Source organism: Homo sapiens, chromosome 4 (assembly GCF_000001405.40).
Source record: "Homo sapiens chromosome 4, GRCh38.p14 Primary Assembly".
NCBI lineage: Eukaryota > Metazoa > Chordata > Mammalia > Primates > Hominidae > Homo > Homo sapiens.
In genome coordinates this window covers 78337997-78364514 of record NC_000004.12, presented here as the reverse complement: position 1 = coordinate 78364514, position 26518 = coordinate 78337997, and the positions used below count along the sequence as shown (strand labels likewise).

Genomic DNA, 26518 nt, shown 5'->3' with positions numbered 1-26518 from the left:
AAACCTTGTACACTGTCAATATTCACAAACACATGTAGAAAACAAATTAAATCCAGAGACGTGCTTAGTCCACTGATTGCATACTAGAGCAAGCTCCACTCTCTGCCTAGGGTCATAGAATGGGATTGCTGAGAAAAACTATAAAGATGAAACAAACTAACACTTTTATTTTTTAAATGAGATAACCTGGACAGAGAAGTTAAATAACCTGCCCAAGATCATACAGCTGGCATTTACAGAGGAGACCCCACCGCCAAGCCCAGCACTTTTGATTAGGCTGATATCTGAGCCATAATCTGCTAATGGCAACCTTACTGCCTTTGTAGATTGGTTTTCTTCCTTTTATAAAAATAAAGGCTACCAGGTGAGAAGATGGAAGTAAGAACCTCGCATTTCTTTCAATGGCTCCAGAAAGGCAGGAAAAGAAGGAAAGGAGAGAAGGTTCATTGGAAAAACCTACGCTGGCAAACATGATTGTCATCAAGATAGTGCCCAGGGAAGCAGGTGGTGCTGCAGGTGCCAGTGTGGGACAGCACGAGGTTGGTGTCACATGAGGAGCAGGAGAAAGGTCCTCTGCCCTGGCAGGTTCTGCAGGAGGAGTGGCATTCTGCAGAGGAAAAAGAGACACAACAGAAACCATGATGTCAGATTCTCTTCCAAAGCAGCACCCCAAGTGTGGGTAATAAAGTCCCAACACTGAGAACATTGGCAAGTCTGGTTTACAGTCCCATGGAAGTGGTTTACACTTCCTGCCTCCACTCTCTCTTAGGAAAGGTTGATCCTTCCCAGCTACTGCCCCAAGAGAACCTCAGGTGGCAGCTCCAGCTCCTGAGTCCAGCACTTACTCACTTTTACAAGCTCCTCTCTCTGCATAGTATCCTGAAGGGCAGTCAGGAACACAGTGGTCCCCGAGCAGCAGGTAGTGGGCATTCTGGCACCTGAGGCAGATGCTCCCAGTGTTGTGGAGATCAGCTGCACAGTGCTGGCACAGGTGATGGCAGTCTGGAGGGGGAAGGGGAGCACAGAGAAGGCACGGGTGCTCATGAGCACAAAGTCTCATCACTGCACAGAAGGGCAGAAGAGATTTCAATTACAAACACTGCAGCTGACAGCTGGAGAGTAGCCCAAAGGCAGTGTATATCAGTAAAGTAGAAGCTTGGGACCTGTACAAATTGTGTGTTTGAGGTTTTTAGCAAATGGCCAGGCCCAGCACAGTGATTGAGTTTTCATCCCTTTCCAACGGAATGACCTTTAGATACGAGGGTGTCACGTGATAGATACTTGCTAGGAGTATAGAGAGAACTTCCTGACTAACAGAAGCAGTAAGATAATACTATCAACATCTCCCCTGGGGGTCTGAGACTGGAGTGCAGCTTCCCCCAACCCCTTCACGGTAATAGAGGCAGGAGGCAGAGAAATTCTAGGTGGACAGGGCGGGTGAGTCCCTGGTGAAACCCCACCTTCACCATAAAACAACAACAAAAAACAGCCTGAAACCCATGGCCAAAAGTCCAAAGTAAGTACTTATATTCCTGTTTGCCTGCCCTCTCCCAATTGGTTCTTTCTGAATCATGCCTTTTTACCAATTGAATGTTGCTTTTTCCAAAACTACCTATGGTATGCCCCACCCCTATCCTGTGCCTATAAAGATCCCAGACTCAGTCAGTAGAGGGGAGACAGCCTGACTTTGGGGAAGAGACAACCTGATTTTGGGGAAAGACGACCTGTCCTTCTCGTCCCCTCTCCAGCTCCACTCTCTTCTGAGAAATGTTTTCATCACTCAACAAAATTCTCCACTTTCACCATCATTCAATTTTCTGTGTAACCCCATTCTTCTCAGACACCGGACAAGAGCTTGGGACCCACCAAGCGCCAGTACCCAGAAAAGGCTGTCACACCAGCCCTTTGCCCTCACCAGCGGAGGGAAACCACCCCAGCAACAAGGCAACACACCACCTGGGTGCCACCATGTTTCCCTTGAGGCAACATGCCTGGTTTGGCTGCAGGCCCCCCATGGAGCTTGCTCTTGTGTCAATGCCCGGAGTGGCCAGCCAGATCCTGCACTCACTAACATACATGCTTTCTCCTACAAGGGGTTGAGCACAGCAGGCTGAGTAAATGAGGTGCCGCTGCCATGAGTCCGGCAAACAAGCTGAGAAAAATCCTGCATCAACAGGGCTCCTGAGCCCTCTGCAAAGCTCCTTCTCACAGATTTGGCCTTCCAGAGTCAGTATACCAGTCTCAGCCTTCAGTATGAATGGACTGAGGTTAGTAAATAATTGGATTGAGTTGCTGGAAAATTTTGGTCTTTAACTGGAGATAAAGTTATGAAGAAGAGTTGTGAGTTGAAAAGTCATTTTTATGACCCAATACATAGTGCACAGTAGCTCTGTAATACCAGTTGGGATTAAAGCTATAAAACAAATTATTTTGTCCAGACAGCCCTGTCTCTTGTTCTCACTCACATAATAGTCATTCTTTAATAAAGAACTTGATTGTGTTCAGCTTCCTTTGTAGGTGAAAACTTCCTGCTTTCAAGTGGTAATTACCCTTTAAGTCCCATTTATCATCCTTTAACCCAAAGGCAGGAGAAAACCCACGAATCTCAATTTACCCACCTCAAATGAAAAAGGAGTAAGATCTAGAAAAGAGAAAAGAAAGAGTTCTGGTTACGGGGCCTTCCCACCTTCCCCTGTAGGATTCAAAGCATTTGTTTGTACTCGCTAATGCACCACCCATGGCCCCAAAATGTCTTGTTTCATCTCAACGCTTGTAGTAGAGATTGTGATTTCTAGAAAATCCATGTTGGTAAAACAGATTCCTGCCCCTGGAATCTGTTAAAAACAGGTCTTTCTCTGTACACTGTTGGTGATCCTAACTGTTGATCATCTGGATGTGTTCCCTGTACACGAAGCAGATCTCCCTTTCATGTCCAGTGCCCACTCATCCACATGAGAACCCTTCAGAGGACCTTCATAGCCACCCCAGAAGTTAAGCCACAAGAGTCTGCCTCAAAAATGCTGATTGTTTTGGCAACATACAAACTAACAGTCTCAAACCTTTCTGTGAACTTTGGGAGTTACAAATTACAAGCAGCCTTTTGCTAATATTAGGAACAATTCATGATATCCTGAGACCCAAATTAATCCTCATTTCAGTCCTTCAGTAAACTACAAAGGAAATTATGACTGCATTGAGGGAAATATGAGAAGGAGACTACTTTCCCCAGATTTGGTGTATGGTTTCCACATAATGCCAAGCCCTTTGTTCTCTCTTCCCTATGCCTTCCTTACAGTGCCAGGAGCACAATCCCAGCTGTGTGAAGGGAAATTTAAAAAGCTTCAAAAGTTGCAAGAGCAAATGAAGGTGATAGTGTTTTATGACTACCTTAACAAGTGGGTAAATGTTAGGATTGGAAACCTAGGAAACACTACAGATTCAAGGCTCCGTTATCTGAAAAGCCATGGCCTATCCTCTTTAAAGCAACTTCTTTCAGAGCTTTCTGAACTTGGGCATGCATCACCAAGATCTGCAGGTGTTCAGTGGTCTAAAGACTAGTTGCATCTAACAGATGCTTTCTCTAGCATGCAATTAGAGAAACATAAAAGAATAATTACCAAGGGGATGCTTTCAAGAGAAAGTAAGCAGACCCCTATAGTATTTTGTGGGTACAACAAATAAGTAATTATGGATTTATCTGATCTTGGGATCTCTGTTTAAATAAGGAGTGTAACGTGTGTTAATTATTCTAAAGGAAGCTGGAGCCAGGTTATGGACATTCCTTCCCCCTCACCCAGCAGTGCTTTTCAACCCTTATTACTCTTCTGAAGTCACTACCCCACTCTGCCCGCCCATTCATGCCTTCCCAGGTGATCTCATCTACATCACTAAACAGAGCATGCTGGATTCATTCCTTTCACCTCAAAACGTCTATCTATTCCTGTTTTTATTTCATTTCCTCCCTTCTCCCAGGATAAAATGGCTAATGCCTACACCTATATTCTTGATCCAATTTTCAATATTATTCCACCTGTTTTCCCCTATCTCTCTTTTCAACCTTAACTTCCAACTATGCTCTCCATTGCCTACTGTCCTAAAAACTTTTCTCTACAAACAACTCATCTCTTGCCTTCCCTTAACTACCCAACTTCCTTGCCTCTCTAACTCCTCACTTCATTGTAAATCTGTCTTCAAAATATTTTACTGTGGTATTGCTCTTGAAAAGGTCTCTGATGGCCTCTTAAGGACCAGATTTAATGGCCTCCTCTAATTCCTTATCCTACCTGAAATCTCTGCAACACAAGGCACTGTTGACTGAGCAGCCCTCCTTCTCAAAACTCTCTCCTCTCAGCATGAGTGACACAGGTGCTCTTCTTGGCTGGGTTCTCTTTCTGTGCCTCCAACCGACTTATAAATATATGGGTTCCTCACAGCCTTTAACTTTTTCTATCCTCCTAATCAAGTCTCTGGAGTTCTCAAACCAGACATGGCGGTTTGGCAGATTTGGGTACACAGATGCCAGAAATCAATGGAAAGGTCTGAAGAGTTGGAGAGACTCTGAAATTACTCAGGGCCTCTGCTTCCTTCCACAGCTCCATGTTAAGCCATAAGAAGGCATCAGATCAGTCCCCAAACATATACTGCATGATGGAGTGAGTGCCCAGAGTCAAAGGAGAAATCAGTACATGACACCTGAAAATATAAAATGATCAACTCCAAGTTGCCCAATACATCACATTTATCCAAGTTAGTTTATAGTTCTACCTCACACAGGAGATTACAAATACTCGAGTGTGCAAAGTTCAACTCTCTAACTCTTTTTGTTCACTACCTGTATTCATTCTACGGTTTAAAAAGTCATGCTGAACACCCACTCCTGTGAATAGACTCATTCCAAAGCAACAACCTGAGTGGGACCCATGTTAATCCACTCATGCAAACTTTCCTTCCCAGCTCCATCATATGCAATCCCCCAACAGAAGACCAATTATATCATTAGGCTCTCAAGGTTGGTTGACTGATTTTTATTAAATCAAGCCAAAAAGAATAATAAGTCCCCAAAACCTAGGGAACACTTTTGTCTTCAGAGGCTTGAAGTCAAAATCTCTTTGTAGGAGAGAGTTTCTTGGGAGACCTCAAAATGAGTAACGATCTCCACGGAAAGAAGCCAGAAATCAGAGCAACAAGGGCTTGAGGATTAATACCAATGTTCTGACTTATAACAGAAAAGTATAGTTCCCTAGGGCAGACTACAAAACTCAGGCAAGACAGGCTACGAGTAGCCGACCCCACAGGGCACCACCTGTGAGCAGGCTTCAGGTACAAGCCCGGGGATGCTGTGATCTACACAGAAGGGCTGAGCAGGTTCAGACAGGGATCTAGAGGTTTTATTTTTCTGACTACAAAGTAAGCCATGGAAGAGAAGGAAACATGAAAAATATTTTTACAAAGTATAAATAAGCATAAAAATCACCCTCAGCATGGTAGTTCGGGGTCAATAACTACTAACGATGACATTTTTTCTTTTAGTGCTTTTTCTATACAATTTTACATATAGAGATTTTTACATAGATTAGATTAAATTAAATGTGGACACTATAGTACCTTTTTTACTCAATATCATCAGCATTCCCACATGTCATTAGGGACTCCTGTAAACATCATTTTTAGCAGCGACATCATATTCCAGTATTAAGTAAGCAAACAAAAAAACTGCCATTTTTCTTACAGTTTGAATATTTACTTATAATTTGTCTCCATTTTTATAACTAAGGCTATGATAACACTTTTGTGCATAAATCTTTGTCTGCATCTCAGATTATTTCCTAAAGGACTATGTTGAAAGGGTACAATTCATATTATTATTATAGTTTACATTTACTGAGCTCTGAATATACATTGGGCAAAATATTAATTATTATAAACACATAATTTCATTTGAAGAGAAAAAGTAGGCACTGTTATTATCCCCATTTTATAAATGAGGAAACTGAGACTCTGAAAGGTTAAGTCATTTGCTTACACATATCATATATAGACTAAGTCCAGAGCATAACATTTTAACCACTACAAGCATGAAAAAAATGTAAAATTCTTAATTGATATTATAAATTTCATTCCAGAAAGTTCCTATCGACTTGTATTTCAAGAGCCATTTATGAGACTGTTTCATCATAATTTTACCAGCACTAAGAAATTTAAAAACAGTAAACCAACCTTGGCTAATTTGGTTGGTGAAAATCGGAGTTGTCATTGTTTTACTTTGTGTTTCTTTTATTATAAGTGAGGTTAAGTATGAAAAGAGTTTTTTTTTCATTGAAACAACAAAAACATTCAAATGGCTACTATACTCCTATAATTTTCAGCATGGTGGGGGAAATGATTCTGGATGTATCATTTTAATTGAGTATTTAATATGCACAATCAAATAATAAACTGAGGTGTCAATCAGTGAGTTCCTTCCTCATCCACTGTCACCATCCCCCATTGGACCAGGAAGCATGGGGTCATCATGTGTTCCCAAAGCTATCAAAATCAGACCTACAAAGACACTATACTTATAGAACCCAGGGCACAGGAGATAGAAAGAAAAAAAATTGTCTTTTTTGTTTGGTAAGACAAAGTGTCCCTCTGTTGCCCACACTGGAGTACAGAGGCAAAATCATATCTCACTGAAACCTTGAACTCGGGGCTCCAGGATCCTCCTGCTTCATTCTCTTGAGTAGCTGGACCTATAGGTGTGTACCACCGGGTCCGCCTAATTCTTTTATTTTTCATACAGACAGGAGTCTCACTATATTGCCCAGGCTGGTGTCAAACTCCTGGCCTCAAGCAATCTTCCCTCCTTGGTTTCCCAAAGTGATGGGATTACAGGTATAAGCCACCTCACCCGGCCGAAAAAGTTCTTTAATGTGCATTGGAACTAACAGACCCAGGCCCCCCACCAACACAACCCCTACACTCTCCATCTCCCTACCCCAACCTAAAAAACCTTCAAACTGAAGGGGAAGAAAAAGCAGAGGAACCATTCCCTTTGCTCCTGCCTGCCCCTCTTATGGAACAGGTTGGAAGTAACCCAGTAGAATGTTCAAGATTCCAATAGTAGAGTGGGCTTGGGCTATGTTTCTTGCCTTCAAGAGGGCTGTCTCCAAATTTTGTCATGGGGACACAGTGTGCTGAGCAACCTGAAAACATGGTGGACACTGAGGTGGAGGACTGGCATGAGACTGTTACAAACGTCCTGTAGAATGCTACAGGGATAATGATAGGGTGCCATGAAAGTACATAACAGGGGTACCAACTTAGTCCAAGGGCCAGGAAAGACCTCCCAGAGGAGGCTGAGACAAGAACACTGGTGGCAGTTAGCTGCAACAGGAGCAGGGCAGGGGGAGAATGTTTGGAAAGGGTTCCAAGAGGAGGGAAAGCTTAGGCAACCCAGAAGTTGAACAGAACAGGATGCCTTCAAGGAACTGAGAAAAGTTCAACATGGCTGGATCTTAAAGAACACACAAAAGAGCCTCTCGGTACCTGGGTAGGCCAGTTTTGCAAGACATTGTAAGTCAAGAAAAGAAGTCTGGATTTTATGGTAAAGGCAATTGGGAATCTCTCTCTCTCTGTCTGTGTGTGTATGCGTGTGTGTGTGTGTCTTTTTTCAGTTTATTTACCAAGGTCTCTGTGTTTTTGTTATAGATTTAAATGAGAATTTTTTTTATATGAAAGGCAACTCATGTTAGGAGAAGACATCAAACCAAAGCAGAAAACTAACAATCTAAGAAAACTCTGACATACAACAGCTCTTGCCATGAAACCCTTGCTGGAGGAGGAAAGCAGGCTCCTAACTGTTCTCTCCCCTCCTCCCCTCCATTGCATCTGCAGAAGCCCCTTTTCTGCCAAAAACATCCCTCTGCTGAATTGTTCTCAAGGGGCTTATGCTGGAGTAGGCATATTAAGAATATTATGATGCAAATACATGAAAACTATTGTGACCAGGAATGGAGATCCTTGAGAAGGAAGAAAAACACACTTGTGGTTTCTCTTTGCATGACTGGGGAAGACCTTTTCACTCATGGTCAGTTCTCAGAACTCCTTTTAAAAGGAAAACAAAGTGGAATTTGGCCAAATCAGTGGTACCGAGTAGGTAGCTCCCACACAGTTGTTAGAGGGGGGAAAAGGTTATTGGAGTAAAAATACTAGGAAATCATGGAGAATTTGAAGGCCCACGAAAAAGGTCAATATGGGTTGCATCACCTGGTTTTCAAAATCCACTTCAGGCCAGGAGAAAAAGGGTGCTACTCGGCTGCATGTGTGACAATTTCCAACTGTCTCGTCAGTTACAATTGGAGATAATAAAGAGACAGAACTACCCCCGTGGCCAGCCAAATGTATTAATTATACAATCTAAACATAATTAAGAGGTGGTATGAGCCCCACATGTAGGCACCGTGGGAGGTAACTATGTGACCCAATAAACTGCTATGACACCAGTCATTTTACTCACAGTAAAGTCTATGGGCATATTTTCTACAAACTAATCTGATTGGGAGGCAACTCGTGAATTCTTCTTATTTGGTGGTAACCGTCTGATGAGCCCTCTAATTCAGATCTTTGATGGGCCCACACCATAGAAGCACATCTGTCAGAAACTGTGTCCTTAAAATGGCAGCATCCTCAGAGAGACCAACAAATTCCAGGGTGAATTCCCCCTAAAATACTCCAGTCTGCCTTCCATGCCTGTTCCTGCCCACAGGTGATACTGAAAACAATTTCACAGGACACAGTAGAGGAAGTGTATACGGTCACTGTTTAACTTGTATCAGACTGCAATTACTAAAATAAGGGAATTGAATTTCCAACCCACCACTCTAGCAGCTTCTGCAAGGATTAATGTCCCATCCAAAAAGCCCCATCTGTGCAGTAAGGCATCTGCATCTGACCTTCCTGCCTGTAATCAAAAAAAGGCAGGCTGACCTCAAATATGTTTAAATAGGGAGCGTGTATCCGTTAATTCCTTAAAAACAGTGCCTATTCTGGAGCCTGTCTCTCAGATTCCTCCCGCTACTACTCAGCAAGTAAATTCTTGTTTGTCACTATTGCAATTACAGTAGAGTCTTTAAATATAAGACTCATTAAGAGTCACAAGGAAAGAAGAGAGGCCCAGGATACATTTATGCTTTGGCTGTTTCAGATTACTGATGTATAATAAGTATGTGGGGGGAGCACAGATGGAATTCCAGTTGTTTGTATATGTACCTCCTTGCTAATAAATGCAGTAAATTAGCACTGTAAACAAGCAAATTAATAAACACATTACAAGGTAGCCCGAAAATGGAGTATTAGCTCCAGCTGAAATAAATGCATTTATTGTTTTTAAGCAAGCAGAAGATTCCAATTGTTTTCTAAATATGCACAGCACGTAGACATGCTAGAAATTTAAACAGATAAAAATATTAATATTTTGACTCAGCAGCTGTAGAATCCTCTAATATGTCACCCTGCAGCTGTGAGGAAATTGCATGTGGTCATCAATATGTGATGCTTTCTTCAAATCACAAAGGCTCTGCTTCAAGGATCAGTGAGGATTACCCACAATCATGACGGATGGAAGCACATGGCAGTGAAATAATTTATTTCACATCTTTGGATCAAAATCAAAAAAGCTTGAAGATATTAAAGTAAATGTGTACTGTCGACGCAATGGCTTTGGATGTTGGTTTTATGGAGCAGTGACTCCTTAGCTGATAAATAATGACCTATAAAGACAAATTTAGACACACAGTGAGATTTTTAATAATGTCCTGTCAGTCCATTAGGTTCTTAATGCAACGACATTAAGTGTATTTGGAAGTGGTCAAAATAATCAGCACTTGTAGCTGTTCTTCGTCAGGTGAAAAAGAAATGATTTCATGCCAAAACTCAGGGCCTTTAAAGGGCATAGAATTTGAATTCTAATGCCACTTTTAAAATTGATGGGTTTCTGCTTGTGAGATAAGTATGGCAGGAATCCAGAAAATAACATACAGATGACAGAAGAAAAAGAAGCATCCTATCTCTTTCCCTTTTGATCATTACTTTGTGCTCAGCCCACCCGTAAGCTGTTACAAATCATGTATTCTCTTTAGAGGCTTTGAATTAGTACAAAAGCTACAAAACAAAACAAAACCAACCAACCAAATGAGACTTCTTTCTTCAGTGTCTGTGGCTATTGTTTTACTCTTAAAAAACTAACCAAATAAAACACGACAACAGAATGACCTTCATGTTATAGGGCAGTGATTTCTACCCAGTGTAGACAAACTCACCAATGTGTTGGGAAGGCTGCCGTAGGAGCCGAGGAAACAGCTTGAAGTGGGGAGGGTAAGGGGAGGTGGCGAGTGGCAGTGTCAAATGTAAAAGCAAAGCTCTAGGTTTTGGTGCCAGCTTGCACTGCCAACAACACGTCATGAGCATCACTCTTACCATGTATCTTGAAGCTTTTTTTTTTTTTTTTTTTTTATTTTATTTTTTTTTTAATTTTTTTGTTATACTCTAAGTTTTAGGGTACATGTGCACATTGTGCAGGTTAGTTACATATGTATACATGTGCCATGCTGGTGCGCTGCACCCACTAATGTGTCATCTAGCATTAGGTATATCTCCCAATGCTATCCCTCCCCCCTCCCCTGACCCCACCACAGTCCCCAGAGTGTGATATTCCCCTTCCTGTGTCCATGTGATCTCATTGTTCAATTCCCACCTATGAGTGAGAATATGCGGTGTTTGGTTTTTTGTTCTTGAGATAGTTTACTGAGAATGATGGTTTCCAATTTCATCCATGTCCCTACAAAGGACATGAACTCATCATTTTTTATGGCTGCATAGTATTCCATGGTGTATATGTGCCACATTTTCTTAATCCAGTCTATCATTGTTGGACATTTGGGTTGGTTCCAAGTCTTTGCTATTGTGAATAGTGCCGCAATAAACATACGTGTGCATGTGTCTTTATAGCAGCATGATTTATAGTCCTTTGGGTATATACCCAGTAATGGGATGGCTGGGTCAAATGGTATTTCTAGTTCTAGATCCCTGAGGAATCGCCACACTGACTTCCACAATGGTTGAACTAGTTTACAGTCCCACCAACAGTGTAAAAGTGTTCCTATTTCTCCACATCCTCTCCAGCACCTGTTGTTTCCTGACTTTTTAATGATTGCCATTCTAACTGGTGTGAGATGATATCTCATAGTGGTTTTGATTTGCATTTCTCTGATGGCCAGTGATGATGAGCATTTCTTCATGTGTTTTTTGGCTGCATAAATGTCTTCTTTTGAGAAGTGTCTGTTCATGTCCTTCGCCCACTTTTTGATGGGGTTGTTTGTTTTTTTCTTGTAAATTTGTTTGAGTTCATTGTAGATTCTGGATATTAGCCCTTTGTCAGATGAGTAGGTTGCGAAAATTTTCTCCCATGTTGTAGGTTGCCTGTTCACTCTGATGGTAGTTTCTTTTGCTGTGCAGAAGCTCTTGAGTTTAATTAGATCCCATTTGTCAATTTTGGCTTTTGTTGCCATTGCTTTTGGTGTTTTGGACATGAAGTCCTTGCCCACGCCTATGTCCTGAATGGTAATGCCTAGGTTTTCTTCTAGGGTTTTTATGGTTTTAGGTCTAACGTTTAAATCTTTAATCCATCTTGAATTGATTTTTGTATAAGGTGTAAGGAAGGGATCCAGTTTCAGCTTTCTACATATGGCTAGCCAGTTTTCCCAGCACCATTTATTAAATAGGGAATCCTTTCCCCATTGCTTGTTTTTCTCAGGTTTGTCAAAGATCAGATAGTTGTAGATATGCGGCATTATTTCTGAGGGCTCTGTTCTGTTCCATTGATCTATATCTCTGTTTTGGTACCAGTACCATGCTGTTTTGGTTACTGTAGCCTTGTAGTATAGTTTGAAGTCAGGTAGTGTGATGCCTCCAGCTTTGTTCTTTTGGCTTAGGATTGACTTGGCGATGCGGGCTCTTTTTTGGTTCCATATGAACTTTAAAGTAGTTTTTTCCAATTCTGTGAAGAAAGTCATTGGTAGCTTGATGGGGATGGCATTGAATCTGTAAATTACCTTGGGCAGTATGGCCATTTTCACGATATTGATTCTTCCTACCCATGAGCATGGAATGTTCTTCCATTTGTTTGTGTCCTCTTTTATTTCCTTGAGCAGTGGTTTGTAGTTCTCCTTGAAGAGGTCCTTCACATCCCTTGTAAGTTGGATTCCTAGGTATTTTATTCTCTTTGAAGCAATTGTGAATGGGAGTTCACTCATGATTTGGCTCTCTGTTTGTCTGTTGTTGGTGTATAAGAATGCTTGTGATTTTTGTACATTGATTTTGTATCCTGAGACTTTGCTGAAGTTACTTATCAGCTTAAGGAGATTTTGGGCTGAGACGATGGGGTTTTCTAGATAAACAATCATGTCGTCTGCAAACAGGGACAATTTGACTTCCTCTTTTCCTAATTGAATACCCTTTATTTCCTTCTCCTGCCTGATTGCCCTGGCCAGAACTTCCAACACTATGTTGAATAGGAGCGGTGAGAGAGGGCATCCCTGTCTTGTGCCAGTTTTCAAAGGGAATGCTTCCAGTTTTTGCCCATTCAGTATGATATTGGCTGTGGGTTTGTCATAGATAGCTCTTATTATTTTGAAATACGTCCCATCAATACCTAATTTATTGAGAGTTTTTAGCATGAAGGGTTGTTGAATTTTGTCAAAGGCTTTTTCTGCATCTATTGAGATAATCATGTGGTTTTTGTCTTTGGCTCTGTTTATATGCTGGATTACATTTATTGATTTGCGTATATTGAACCAGCCTTGCATCCCAGGGATGAAGCCCACTTGATCATGGTGGATAAGCTTTTTGATGTGCTGCTGGATTCGGTTTGCCAGTATTTTATTGAGGATTTTTGCATCAATGTTCATCAAGGATATTGGTCTAAAATTCTCTTTTTTGGTTGTGTCTCTGCCCGGCTTTGGTATCAGAATGATGCTGGCCTCATAAAATGAGTTAGGGAGGATTCCCTCTTTTTCTATTGATTGGAATAGTTTCAGAAGGAATGGTACCAGTTCCTCCTTGTACCTCTGGTAGAATTCGGCTGTGAATCCATCTGGTCCTGGACTCTTTTTGGTTGGTAAACTATTGATTATTGCCACAATTTCAGAGCCTGTTATTGGTCTATTCAGAGATTCAACTTCTTCCTGGTTTAGTCTTGGGAGAGTGTATGTGTCGAGGAATGTATCCATTTCTTCTAGATTTTCTAGTTTATTTGCGTAGAGGTGTTTGTAGTATTCTCTGATGGTAGTTTGTATTTCTGTGGGATCGGTGGTGATATCCCCTTTATCATTTTTTATTGTGTCTATTTGATTCTTCTCTCTTTTTTTCTTTATTAGTCTTGCTAGCGGTCTATCAATTTTGTTGATCCTTTCAAAAAACCAGCTCCTGGATTCATTGATTTTTTGAAGGGTTTTTTGTGTCTCTATTTCCTTCAGTTCTGCTCTGATTTTAGTTATTTCTTGCCTTCTGCTAGCTTTTGAATGTGTTTGCTCTTGCTTTTCTAGTTCTTTTAATTGTGATGTTAGGGTGTCAATTTTGGATCTTTCCTGCTTTCTCTTGTAGGCATTTAGTGCTATAAATTTCCCTCTACACACTGCTTTGAATGCGTCCCAGAGATTCTGGTATGTGGTGTCTTTGTTCTCGTTGGTTTCAAAGAACATCTTTATTTCTGCCTTCATTTCGTTCTGTACCCAGTAGTCATTCAGGAGCAGGTTGTTCAGTTTCCATGTAGTTGAGTGGCTTTGAGTGAGATTCTTAATCCTGAGTTCTAGTTTGATTGCACTGTGGTCTGAGAGATAGTTTGTTATAATTTCTGTTCTTTTACATTTGCTGAGGAGAGCTTTACTTCCAACTATGTGGTCAATTTTGGAATAGGTGTGGTGTGGTGCTGAAAAAAATGTATATTCTGTTGATTTGGGGTGGAGAGTTCTGTAGATGTCTATTAGGTCCGCTTGGTGCAGAGCTGAGTTCAATTCCTGGGTATCCTTGTTGACTTTCTGTCTTGTTGATCTGTCTAATGTTGACAGTGGGGTGTTAAAGTCTCCCATTATTAATGTGTGGGAGTCTAAGTCTCTTTGTAGGTCACTCAGGACTTGCTTTATGAATCTGGGTGCTCCTGTATTGGGTGCATAAATATTTAGGATAGTTAGCTCCTCTTGTTGAATTGATCCCTTTACCATTATGTAATGGCCTTCTTTGTCTCTTTTGATCTTTGTTGGTTTAAAGTCTGTTTTATCAGAGACTAGGATTGCAACCCCTGCCTTTTTTTGTTTTCCATTGGCTTGGTAGATCTTCCTCCATCCTTTTATTTTGAGCCTATGTGTGTCTCTGCACATGAGATGGGTTTCCTGACTACAGCACACTGATGGGTCTTGACTCTTTATCCAACTTGCCAGTCTGTGTCTTTTAATTGCAGAATTTAGTCCATTTATATTTAAAGTTAATATTGTTATGTGTGAATTTGATCCTGTCATTATGATGTTAGCTGGTGATTTTGCTCATTAGTTGATGCAGTTTCTTCCTAGTCTCGATGGTCTTTACATTTTGGCATGACTTTGCAGCGGCTGGTACCGGTTGTTCCTTTCCATGTTTAGTGCTTCCTTCAGGAGCTCTTTTAGGGCAGGCCTGGTGGTGACAAAATCTCTCAGCATTTGCTTGTCTATAAAGTATTTTATTTCTCCTTCACTTATGAAGCTTAGTTTGGCTGGATATGAAATTCTGGGTTGAAAATTCTTTCCTTTAAGAATGTTGAATATTGGCCCCCACTCTCTTCTGGCTTGTAGGGTTTCTGCCGAGAGATCCGCTGTTAGTCTGATGGGCTTTCCTTTGAGGGTAACCCGACCTTTCTCTCTGGCTGCCCTTAACATTTTTTCCTTCATTTCAACTTTGGTGAATCTGACAATTATGTGTCTTGGAGTTGCTCTTCTCGAGGAGTATCTTTGTGGCGTTCTCTGTGTTTCCTGAATCTGAACGTTGGCCTGCCTTGCTAGATTGGGGAAGTTCTCCTGGATAATATCCTGCAGAGTGTTTTCCAACTTGGTTCCATTCTCCACATCACTTTCAGGTACACCAATCAGACGTAGATTTGGTCTTTTCACATAGTCCCATATTTCTTGGAGGCTTTGCTCATTTCTTTTTATTCTTTTTTCTCTAAACTTCCCTTCTCGCTTCATTTCATTCATTTCATCTTCCATTGCTGATACCCTTTCTTCCAGTTGATCGCATCGGCTCCTGAGGCTTCTGCATTCTTCACGTAGTTCTCGAGCCTTGGTTTTCAGCTCCATCAGCTCCTTTAAGCACTTCTCTGTATTGGTTATTCTAGTTATACATTCTTCTAAATTTTTTTCAAAGTTTTCAACTTCTTTGCCTTTGGTTTGAATGTCCTCCCGTAGCTCAGAGTAATTTGATCGTCTGAAGCCTTCTTCTCTCAGCTCGTCAAAATCATTCTCCATCCAGCTTTGTTCTGTTGCTGGTGAGGAACTGCGTTCCTTTGGAGGAGGAGAGGCGCTCTGCGTTTTAGAGTTTCCAGTTTTTCTGTTCTGTTTTTTCCCCATCTTTGTGGTTTTATCTACTTTTGGTCTTTGATGATGGTGATGTACAGATGGGTTTTCGGTGTAGATGTCCTTTCTGGTTGTTAGTTTTCCTTCTAACAGACAGGACCCTCAGATGCAGGTCTGTTGGAATACCCTGCTGTGTGAGGTGTCAGTGTGCCCCTGCTGGGGGGTGCCTCCCAGTTAGGCTGCTCGGGGGTCAGGGGTCAGGGACCCACTTGAGGAGGCAGTCTGCCCGTTCTCAGATCTCCAGCTGCGTGCTGGGAGAACCACTGCTCTCTTCAAAGCTGTCAGACAGGGACACTTAAGTCTGCAGAGGTTACTGCTGTCTTTTTGTTTGTCTGTGCCCTGCCCCCAGAGGTGGAGCCTACAGAGGCAGGCAGGCCTCCTTGAGCTGTGGTGGGCTCCACCCAGTTCGAGCTTCCTGGCTGCTTTGTTTACCTAAGCAAGCCTGGGCAATGGCGGGCGCCCCTCCCCCAGCCTCGTTGCCGCCTTGCAGTTTGGTCTCAGACTGCTGTGCTAGCAATCAGCGAGATTCCGTGGGCGTAGGACCCTCCGAGCCAGGTGTGGGATATAGTCTCGTGGTGCGCCGTTTCTTAAGCCGGTCTGAAAAGCGCAATATTCGGGTGGGAGTGACCCGATTTTCCAGGTGCGTCCGTCACCCCTTTCTTTGACTCAGAAAGGGAACTCCCTGACCCCTTGCGCTTCCCAGGTGAGGCAATGCCTCGCCCTGCTTCGGCTCGCGCACAGTGCGCACACACACTGGCCTGCGCCCACTGTCTGGCACTCCCTAGTGAGATGAACCCGGTACCTCAGATGGAAATGCAGAAATCACCCGTCTTCTGCGTCGCTCACGCTGGGAGCTGTAGACCGGAGCTGTTCCTATTCGGCCATCTTGGCTCCTCCCCTATCTTGAAGCTTTGTATCCAATTTATGTTTTACTCAGTTTAGCTCCACAAAAGAAAACAGTTCACTTCAATTAACATTTATGGCAAGTCAGCTGAGTATGAGGCACTGTGGAAGGTAATATAGGATTGAATCAGACTTCAATCCTTCTCTCAAGATGCTTAGGAAGGGATGACCAAAAAAAAAAAAAAAAAACACACACACACACGCACACACATACACACACACACATACACATCCCAAATGCAACAGGTGTCAAAGAAGGATCAGAGAATATTTTATCCAAAGTGAATAAGAGGAACTTGAACTTGAGTGCTTATTTGATGTTTGCAGATGGTGCCAGTTGAGGACACCCTTGTTAGAAGGGAAGAGCATGTAACAGCACAGAGGCACACAGGAACAGAGCAGTGTGGCGTGGGGAAGAGAACCAGCATGGCTGGAGCTTTGGACGTTCACTCAGAAACCAAGGAAATCAGGGACCTTGAAAATCAGGGTGAAGGATTTACAGCTAATGCAATGGGCAATGGGAAGGCATCGACAAGTTTTCAGTGTCAAAGAGTGTTTTATAAACCAAAGTTGATATTCAAGAAAAGTTCTCCTCCCTCGTCTTGGGAAGGACTAGGAGAGCTTTAGTGAGGAAGACCCTCTAGCAGAAAGAGAAAAACGAGGCTGTCATCTAAGAAAGAAGCACTTAGGGTTTTTGCAGCAGAAACAGAGATATGCAGTATCTATGAGATATGGCAGTGATTGCAATATGGAAGAGGGGTTGTCAAGAAGCAAAGGTAACTAAATGGTTTTGAATTGTGCCAATTGAAAAATCAGTAGTGGGTGGACAAGGAAGTCAAGAGAAGGAAGAAAAGCACCTGTGGAGGTGGGAGGGATGAAGATGAAGGGTTTTCTTTGCAGTTTTCCTGTGATCAGATGTCCAGCAGGAAGAGAGAAATGAGGATCTGGAGGGGATTATCACATGCACTTGGGATGAAATCTAAGGAGAAAATAGAAATGAAGATTTAAGCTGTGAAAGACACAAGGGCCCTGGAGGAAAGAAGATGGGAGAGGAAGAGGAGCAGGAAAAATGAAGAGAAAAGGAGGGAGATGAATCTGTAAGCAGAAGAGGAAACACCTGAGTGGAGAGATCAGCTCAGGAAGGCAGATGGGCTCTGGGACACTGGGGGAGGAGCTCCCCAGGGCAGAATGAGGGAGCTCCTTTCTCAAAGGAAGGAAAAAGAGGTAATAGAAGAGAAAGATTTGAGGAGAAAAGATGAGGTTTGTTTGTTTTGTTTTATCAGATAATATAAATCTTCTAAACAAAAAAGAAAGCAGAGTTGTAGACTGAGAGTGAAGAGAGTGTGTAGGGAGTGCGTGGGAAGGCCATGAGGGTCAAAACCACAAAGCATCAAAAGGAAGTGAATAAAATGATGTCGAGAAGCAAGAGAGGGTCTTATGGAAACTAGATCAGTGATGAAGGCTGATGACACAGTGATCATATATGTGCCCTCTGAAGTGCGCTCCTTGGATTCAGAGCCCAGCTCCAGGACTTACTAACTGTGACACGTTGGGTAAGTGGGTTAACATCTCTAATCTCATCCTTAATCTTATCTTGGCCTGTAAAATGCAGATGGTACTAATCACAGGACCAACTTCCTGTGCTTGCAACCAGAATTAAATGACATAATATATGTGATGAACTGGCACACAATGAGTGTTCAATAAACATGAGTTATTAGTGGGCCCAATCAGAATCAACATTGACGCTGATGCTCATGTTTGCAATCAATTCACTGTTTTTACCTATTAAAAGTAAGCCACAGAAATTCACAGGTGTGTAAAAGCAGGTAAATGTAGCCTTAGCAGTTTTGCTACCTTCAGTACTGAAGAGGATAACCTGTAAGTCTCAATTCAGCTGTGTTCTTTCAACATACACCCACAAAAACTTTCTCTGCAATTCAAGCCCTGACCTATAGTTGTTAGGAAGAAACAGCAATACTGACTTTGTTGGGAGGTTTTACAAGCTGAAAGCTTACAAGTAAGGTCCTTCTCTCATTATGAAAGCTAGAGAAGGTATTGTTTGGTAAATGTCACATGAAGGAGAAAATACAAGATTTTTTTTTTTTTTTTAATTTAGGAAGGACTCAATTTAAGCATAGGTCATGTTCTTTTTTCCTAAAAGGAAAAGCTCAAAAACATAATAAATGCCTTGAAATATTCAATCACCCCTTTGCAGAGAGATTGATCTCTTAAATAAAACAAAATTTGAGAGAGCAAGAAAGACAATCATTGAAAGTTCTGTAGAGAGGGTGGATATGCAATTCATGATTCAAGCAATAAGAGATAGGGTGACAAGATGAGAAATAAGAAAAGAAAGTGCATTACAAAACACAAAAAAAGAAGATAAGGAAAATAAAGAAGCAAGTGTTAAAAAAATAGAAGACACGAGCAAATTGAAAAAAAATACAGAGATAGAAGAACAGGACTAGAAGGAATAAAGAGGAAGTTGAAAAAGAGGAGATAAGAACCAAAATATGACTCACACTAAGAAGAAAGATCCTTGTCATAATTATCATATGAGGCATCAGAAGAGGATTAGATATGAGGACAGCTGATTCAAGTCCTTAATTCTACCCAACAGTTCTTGAGGACCATCCAAGTGCTAGCTTGGTACTCTACTGAGTCTTAATTCACCAGTCAACAAAATGGGAATTACCAGCATTTCCAATTCTTCAGGGGGGCTTCCGGGGATGATTAAAGGAGATCCATAAGAAAATGCTTTGAAAATTATAAAACTTTATAAACACACCATTACTAGTATTAATAATGACATGAAACACATATCTAATCATAGCTGTAGCCTTGGAAGTCATGGACCAACAAGTAAAACTATCTCCTGCTTTTAACGGCCCAGATCCACAACAGGAAAATGGCCAAATTAAGTTACCCAAACACAACGGAATATGACTTAGGCATTAAAAATGACAATTATGTAGATTCTTCCAATATTTGCCAACATATGGAAATACGTCATTTAAAGTGATATTTTAGAGAACAGAACAAAGAAATACCATAGCTGTTGACTACAACTGAAAACAATGCACGTATGTATGTATTGGAAAAGATTAAAGTAAATGTGGAGTGAAATAAATTATTAAAATGTAGTATGCATTAACGTTTTTCTTTGAAGTTTATTCATTTAATAAGGATCAAATACAATGGAAACGCATGTACATGTGGCAGTCTAAATCAGCTTCCTTAGCATTTAAAACAGACCAGCAAGTTCGTGCAATGTTTCCCAACAGTGCCTCTCCGAGCCACTCTATTTATCACACTGACTTTTAATCCACCAATCAAGTAATCCACCTACCAATGCACTTTTTAATTCACCAACCAAAAAAAAAAAAATCATTCTTGAGCCCCGATTGTGTGCAAGCAATTGTACTTGCATCATGGAGTACAAAATGGTTGAGTACTCTGGAATCACATTCCAGACTCTGGAATCACATTCCAGACTCTGGAATCACATTCTCTGGGTTCAAATCTCGGATCAATCATTCCTGACTTTTATCATTTGGAGTCGGTACTTAACCTCTGTTAGACAGTTTCAGTCTCCTTACATGTAAAAATGGGGATAAAATTAGTACCTACCTTCGAGGATCATTGCGAATGTTAAATGGTAAAATGCATTCAAAGCAATTAGCACAGCACTTTTCATATAATAAGCCCTCAGAACTGGCACCTATTATTAGATACCCATGAAAAGATCACTCACAGAGAACGTGAGCTGATCAAAGCCCAAGTGCTAGGTAAATGGTAGAAATAATCAGCATACTAGAAATTCTAACAGGGGAGATGCCAAGCAGAAGCTGGTCCTGGAGGGGAAGGAATCTGAACCAGGCATTGAGGGATGGATGGGTAGGATTTGGTGATCAGGGGAAGGAATCTGAACCAGGCATTGAGGGATGGATGGGTAGGATTTGGTGATCAAAATAAGGCAACAACAGCTACATGTTTAAAGTTTATGGCTCTTTTCTTCCTTTCCATTTATAACTGCAGAAGCAGCCACAGCAAGATATAGGGCGGTGCCAACCCACCTCCCCCGCACAGTAGAAGCTGCTTTAAAACAGAACTGGCTCTCACTTCTCTGGCTTCCAGTCACTGTGTCTGGAGGGGAGACAGAGAGCTGGTGCCCTGGCTCGTACCAGGCTCCCTCCAGGGTTCTTAATTATGTTCAACTTAAACTGGGTTTTCCCCCCTGTTATTCAGTGCTGCAGTTGTATCAGCTTATTCCAAAATAAAGATGTGTTGCTCTTTAAATTTGAGCAATTTTACTTTTTCACCACATTTTTAGTGCCCTTCTTTCAGAAATGGTGACAATAAATGGGAAAAATCATGGAAAGGACTCAAAAGTGTTTATTTATGATGTGGAAGAAAAATGTTAACAGCAATGCTCTTCAGCAGGCAAAAGGGTGGCAAACCCGCACCTCCTTGCGTGACCTCTCTGCCTGCCCACAGAGAAAAGAAAGAAGGTAGGGTAGAAGAGAGAGAGAGAGGGAGGGAGGGAGGGAGGGAGGGAGGGAAGTCAGTTGGTCTACAACCTGCATACAGGTTCATGATTTTCTTTTACCTTTATGGGGTGCAAACCAATTGTTCAAAGTATAAATATCAGTTAGTTAAGGACTCCAAAATATTGTTCTGCATATCACTGGCTAACCCTGTAAGAGGCTATAATAAAGGGAAGGGGTCTTCAATTCAGTGCTCGGGAAATGATGTTTGGCCATCTTCATCTTAAAGATTCACAGCACACATATGCATTTTTAAGGTTCTCAGAAATCCTGCAATAAAGAAAGTTGCTTACCTTTATGTAACCGAGTCAATCCCAAATTTATCTGGCCAGGAGGTTTTTTTGTTTTTGTTTTTGTTGCATGCAACACCTATTAACCATTGTTTAGAATTTGAGTTCTGTGGAATAGGAATACAGTATGAAAATACTCAAAGTATATTTCTTTACTGATATTTGTCTTCTTTTGCTCACATTCTCACACAGATTTGTGGAAAGAGCAAACCTGCATTTAAAAAAATACTTCATAAACAATAACAAATTTTTAATCCCCCAGACTTTCACTACCCAAAAAAAACTATTTTAATTTTTCAGGTCTTCCCCTCTGCAATATTACCCTTGATATTATCTTCTTTCTACATAAGAACTCAAAAACATAGCCATCCCATCAGGCAGTCCACAAAACTCAAAGCATTGTTTAAAAAATGCATCTGCATGTGGACATTCCCCCGCCCCCAGGTGTTTATCTGTTTTCCTTTTAATTCTTACCCTATTCTATGAACAAGAGGAAGCTTTTAGCTGAGAAAGAGAAATGCAGAAAGCACCTCAGGCTTTGGAGTTTTCTGTTAATGTTGTTGAGATGTGGGCAAAAAAAAAATTTTTTCTAATCTATGACAAAAGAAAACCTGGCTTTCCATATAGAAAGTAACTGTGTCTCCCGCAATTATGCACAGCTGCCTCTCACCTCAGTTCATTTATCTTTGTTGAAAACCTGCAGCTCTGGCCTAAATCTCACATACTTTATATTTGCTTTGATAGACTTGGAGGAAGAAACCCCACACATATGACATCTCCATATGTGAGACACACTGAGGTTACTGGACCTGCTCCCAGGATGGGTTTACTCTTGGCGGTGTGCTGGATTTGATGTCATTTTCTTTTTTAAACAGCTAAGTACAATTAAGAGGTCTCCAAGTCAAATAGAGAATGCATCCTGAGAGGAAACCCTACCACCCTGGAGGCGCTTGGACATACACGAAAGAGCAGGCAGAGAGGGTCCTTCTCCGGGACTTCCCATGAGCTAGGACTTCCCAAGGACACGGAGAGGATATTACATTGCCAGCCCCGCACAAGGTAGATTATCCTCGGCTTTGCCTGTCATCACATGGTTTCTCCTAACACCTTCCTGAGTTTAGATAAAAGTCACCTAAACATTCTATGAGGTTAACTATGACCTGACTGAGGCAATACTTTAGTTAAAAACAACTCCAGGACTTTAGGTTCAGGGCAACACTGAGAGAGGAGACAAGCTCCTAGTAGCTAGAGTAAGAAACCTGTCAATTTATACGTTTAACCTCCTGCTGGAGAGACACTCTGGGATGTCCAACTCTCACCCCAAATTGAGCTTGGCCAAATTCAAGCACACTGTTTTCCTCACTGCCTCCTAGATCTATTCCTACCCTTGGTAAATGGTATTCCCACCCCTCGAATTTCTGTGACCAGAAACCTGGAAACTATCTGCAAAGCTCCTTCTCCCTTACCCCCCAGGGCTGAGGGAGCACCAACCTCTGTTGCTTCTATTATGTTAAATCATATGAAATTGCCACTCAGACCATTTTTGCAGACAAAACAGCAATCTGAGATGAGCCAACCTAACATACTATTAATACCTGGTGAAATCGTGACCCCTTCTCTTTATCCCCTCAGCAACGTTCTCATTAGAGGATTTCTCTCATCTGGATTTCTGCAGCTACCTCCTAAAGAACTTTCTGCCTCAGTGTTTTCTTCCAAGCCATCTTCCGCAGATCTTTCTCTTCACAGAAATGCAGTCGCGACACTTCCCAGAATCTTCAAGGCATCCCCACGGGTGTACCAAGGCCCTACAGACCAGTCCTGCTCCCTCCCACTTCAAGTCTCACCACTGTCACAGGACTCAACTCTTTATGGGTGTCTCAATAAATAATCCTCTTTGGCCCATTTTCTGAAATGTTCTGCCTCCAAAGCTCCAAATTCCTCTAATTCTCACTCACCTTTAAAATCATCTCAGTTGTGACATCCTCCGGAAAGCTTTCATACCCACTCCACACACTCACATACACACACTCCAGTGTGGGTCAGGGTCCTGTTCCATGGGCTCATCTCATATCCTGCACTATGCACAGAGTACCACAGCAATATCATACTAAACACCCACTCCCTTCTGTTGTGGGCTGAATTCATTCTCTGAAAATTCATGTGTTGAGGCCATATCCCAGTACCTCAGAATATCTGTAGTTGGATATAGGGCCTTTAAAGAGGTAATTAAGTTAAAATAAGGATATTAAAGGATGGGTCCTGATCCAATGTGACCAATATAGTTATAAGAAGAGAAGATTAGGACATGCGGAGGGAAACAGGGGCACATGTGCAAAGAGGAGGCAGCAAGAGGGCCACCATCTACAAGCTAAGGAGAGTGGCCTCCGAGTAAGCCAAGCCTGCGGGCACCTTGATCTTGGACTTCCAGCCTCCAAAACTTGGAGAAAATAAATTTCCATTGTTTGAGCCACCCAGTCTGTGGTATTTTGTTATGGCAGCCCTAGCAAACTAACACTTTCATTCACTAAAGAGTCCATTTCTTGTAGGCAAGCTCCATATTTGATTTGTCTTTATATCCCCAGAGCCCAGTACAATGCCTGGCACAGAGCAAAGGCTTCATAAATGTTTGATGAATCTGTACATGAGTGAATGCATTGCAATGCTACAGAGAAAAGTAGAGGTGTTAGATAAGTCATACATTTAGTGAAAAAGTAAACTTTGGGGTCAGCACAGTTCTCTGAAAGTTCAATAACTGAAATTACTGATCAAACTTTTTTATAATAAATACTATTACACCAGTCTTTAATCAATAAATGATTTCTAAGCACCAGACAATGGTTACCTCATTTAAAACCATTACTTAATACACCTAATTCCCAGGACAGCCAAGATTTTCCTTTTCAGCTTATTTTGGTAGGACCTTCTCTTCTAGGGTTGGGGGCTTCCAGAGTTGTTTAGCTCAGTCCCGTGATTCTCCTTCTAAAGGTTCCCTATTAGCCTTAAAAAATTAATGCAAGTCCTAATCACCTAATTTACTATCAAAGAACACTCTGGACATTAGAACAGAGCTCATTAAAAATTAAATTTTTCTAATCTCCTTATATAAACATGTATTTTTTAAATATGCCCTAGCATAAAATTTTTAGGGCCCACATTCAGAGTTACATTTTAAATAAAAAAGCCATCATGAAGGATATAATTCAGGTCCTACCTTCTAACTCTTCTCCCTGACTCTAATCTCTCCTTATGTTAGTCCATTTTCCATACAAGTTGCAGATTTCTTGCCTTAAGACACCCTTAGTCAAGCTACAGTCCTCTCCAAAACTCTCATGGCCCTATTGCTCACAAAATCTAGTCAAAACTTTTTGGCCTGAAACTTTGAACTTTCTATACTCTGGTTTGAATCTAAATTTCCCAACCATTTTAACTAATATGCTTTAATACCAACCATGTTTGTCACCCAGGTTAGAGGACTCACTAGTCATGAATGGCCCACGTGCTATACCTGCTGGGCCTGTCTCCTGGTGAAACCATGCTCAGAAAGCCCACCAGATCTCCCTCTGTCTCACAGGATCCTGGTTATTCTTCTGGAAATATTTTGGGTTCCACCCCCCCGCATAATGCCTTCCATATCTTGTTACTTCTCCCTACCTTGAACTCCTACAGCCCTTATTACTGGTTGGTGTTACTGTCCCTAAATTGCTTTGTACCATTTGTTAACTACACTTGTGTCTTTGGTTCACCTCCTTAAGTAGCCTGGAAGACCTCTGTATCCCCCTCAAACATCAACTTGGCACCTTGTGCTCAGTGAGTTCTCAGTAAATATCCACCAATACGCTTTAGCCACGTAGGGAGCAATTTAATTCTCAGAGTAGCTGCTCCTCCATATCTTAAAGTGATAATAAGTAGCTAAACTCAAACATGCAAACTGTAATAACAGCCCCTTCCATCCCCAGATTCTCTTTCAGGGATGGGCACTACTATCTCCCATTTTTCCCACTTTCCAAGACAGTCCTGACTACGACTAACATCACTAGCAATAGACTCACATCCTACAGCTGATAGGAATTCTGATTAGTCCAAATCCTGGACTCTGAATTTCCACTTTTTGTTGCACCTAAAAGGCTTGCACAGTCTCTACACTTGGGCTTCCGCTCCGAATCCAGCATTCTGGGCTGCAGCCCTGTGCTTGACAGTTTGGTTTTCTTAGGATATAGACCTTAATACCAAAATGTCTAGTCTTTAATGTCATATGCAAAAATAAATGGGTCACCTGGACCATGGCACCACCAGCCACAGGGAGCACAGCCACTGACTTGCTGTGCCCCGCCCCACCCTCAATCCACCAGACCGAACAGCCGAGATGTCAGCGCCATCCCAGACTGAATGTGCCTGCTGGATACTGTGATCTAGACAACTGGCCATGCCTCTTCCCTGCTCCAGAACAAGCCTGACAGCCTGGTCAACCTCTCAGCACACTTTCTCACCTTTCCCATTTGCCCAGTAGCATCCCAGGATCTCCCCAGTTCAGCCCTTCTGAGCTGAGGCAACAGCTAATAAAGGAGAAGCTCTGCAAGTTTTTCCCAGAGTTTGAAAAAGTGGATCAAGAAATATACAATAACCCATTACCCAGTAAATTCCCCTCCCCAGTCTATAGGCTCTTTGGTGGTGGAGTCATTGTCTCCTTCATCGTTTTCCTGTATTCTGAGCATCTGACCATTAGTAGGCACTCAAAAATGCACATTTGTTGTCTGAATAGATAGATGAACATAAATGATGTCTGGTTCCAACATTATTCAAATTTCAGACTGCTTTCCTAATTTTTTTTTTTAGATCTGAGTTCTAAAATGAGGAAGAAAAAAAAAATCCCATCTCCTAAGGCAACTGATCTACTTTTAGGTTAATCTCTCTAAAATTTTGTGTCTGGGGCTGATGGCAAAGATTCTCCACAACAAGAAGCAGGACAAAATGCAGACAAGAGAAAGGAAGGCTTGGAGTGACTTATTTTCAGAACACTTTTTGCTATCTTAAGAAGTTTTGAATGCATATAAAGGTGCTATTATCATCACTTCATTCTTCATTAATATGAGAGTCTGAGATTTTCAGGATTTGCAAGAGTATTATTAGAAGTTCTATTTAA

The 26518-nt window shown here is 41.6% G+C and overlaps 1 protein-coding gene across 2 annotated transcripts in view; it reads right to left on the bottom strand.

The window, feature by feature from the left end:
• FRAS1 (Fraser extracellular matrix complex subunit 1) overlaps positions 1-26518 on the bottom strand; it is a 486947-nt gene that overhangs the window by 179755 nt on the left and 280674 nt on the right. For both annotated transcript variants that reach the window (NM_025074.7, NM_001166133.2), the window contains exons 21-22: positions 850-1002; positions 461-607 (exon numbers count right to left, since the gene is read on the bottom strand). In NM_025074.7, coding sequence (NP_079350.5) covers positions 461-607; positions 850-1002 — 300 coding nt within the window. The remainder of the gene's footprint in view (positions 1-460; positions 608-849; positions 1003-26518) is intronic.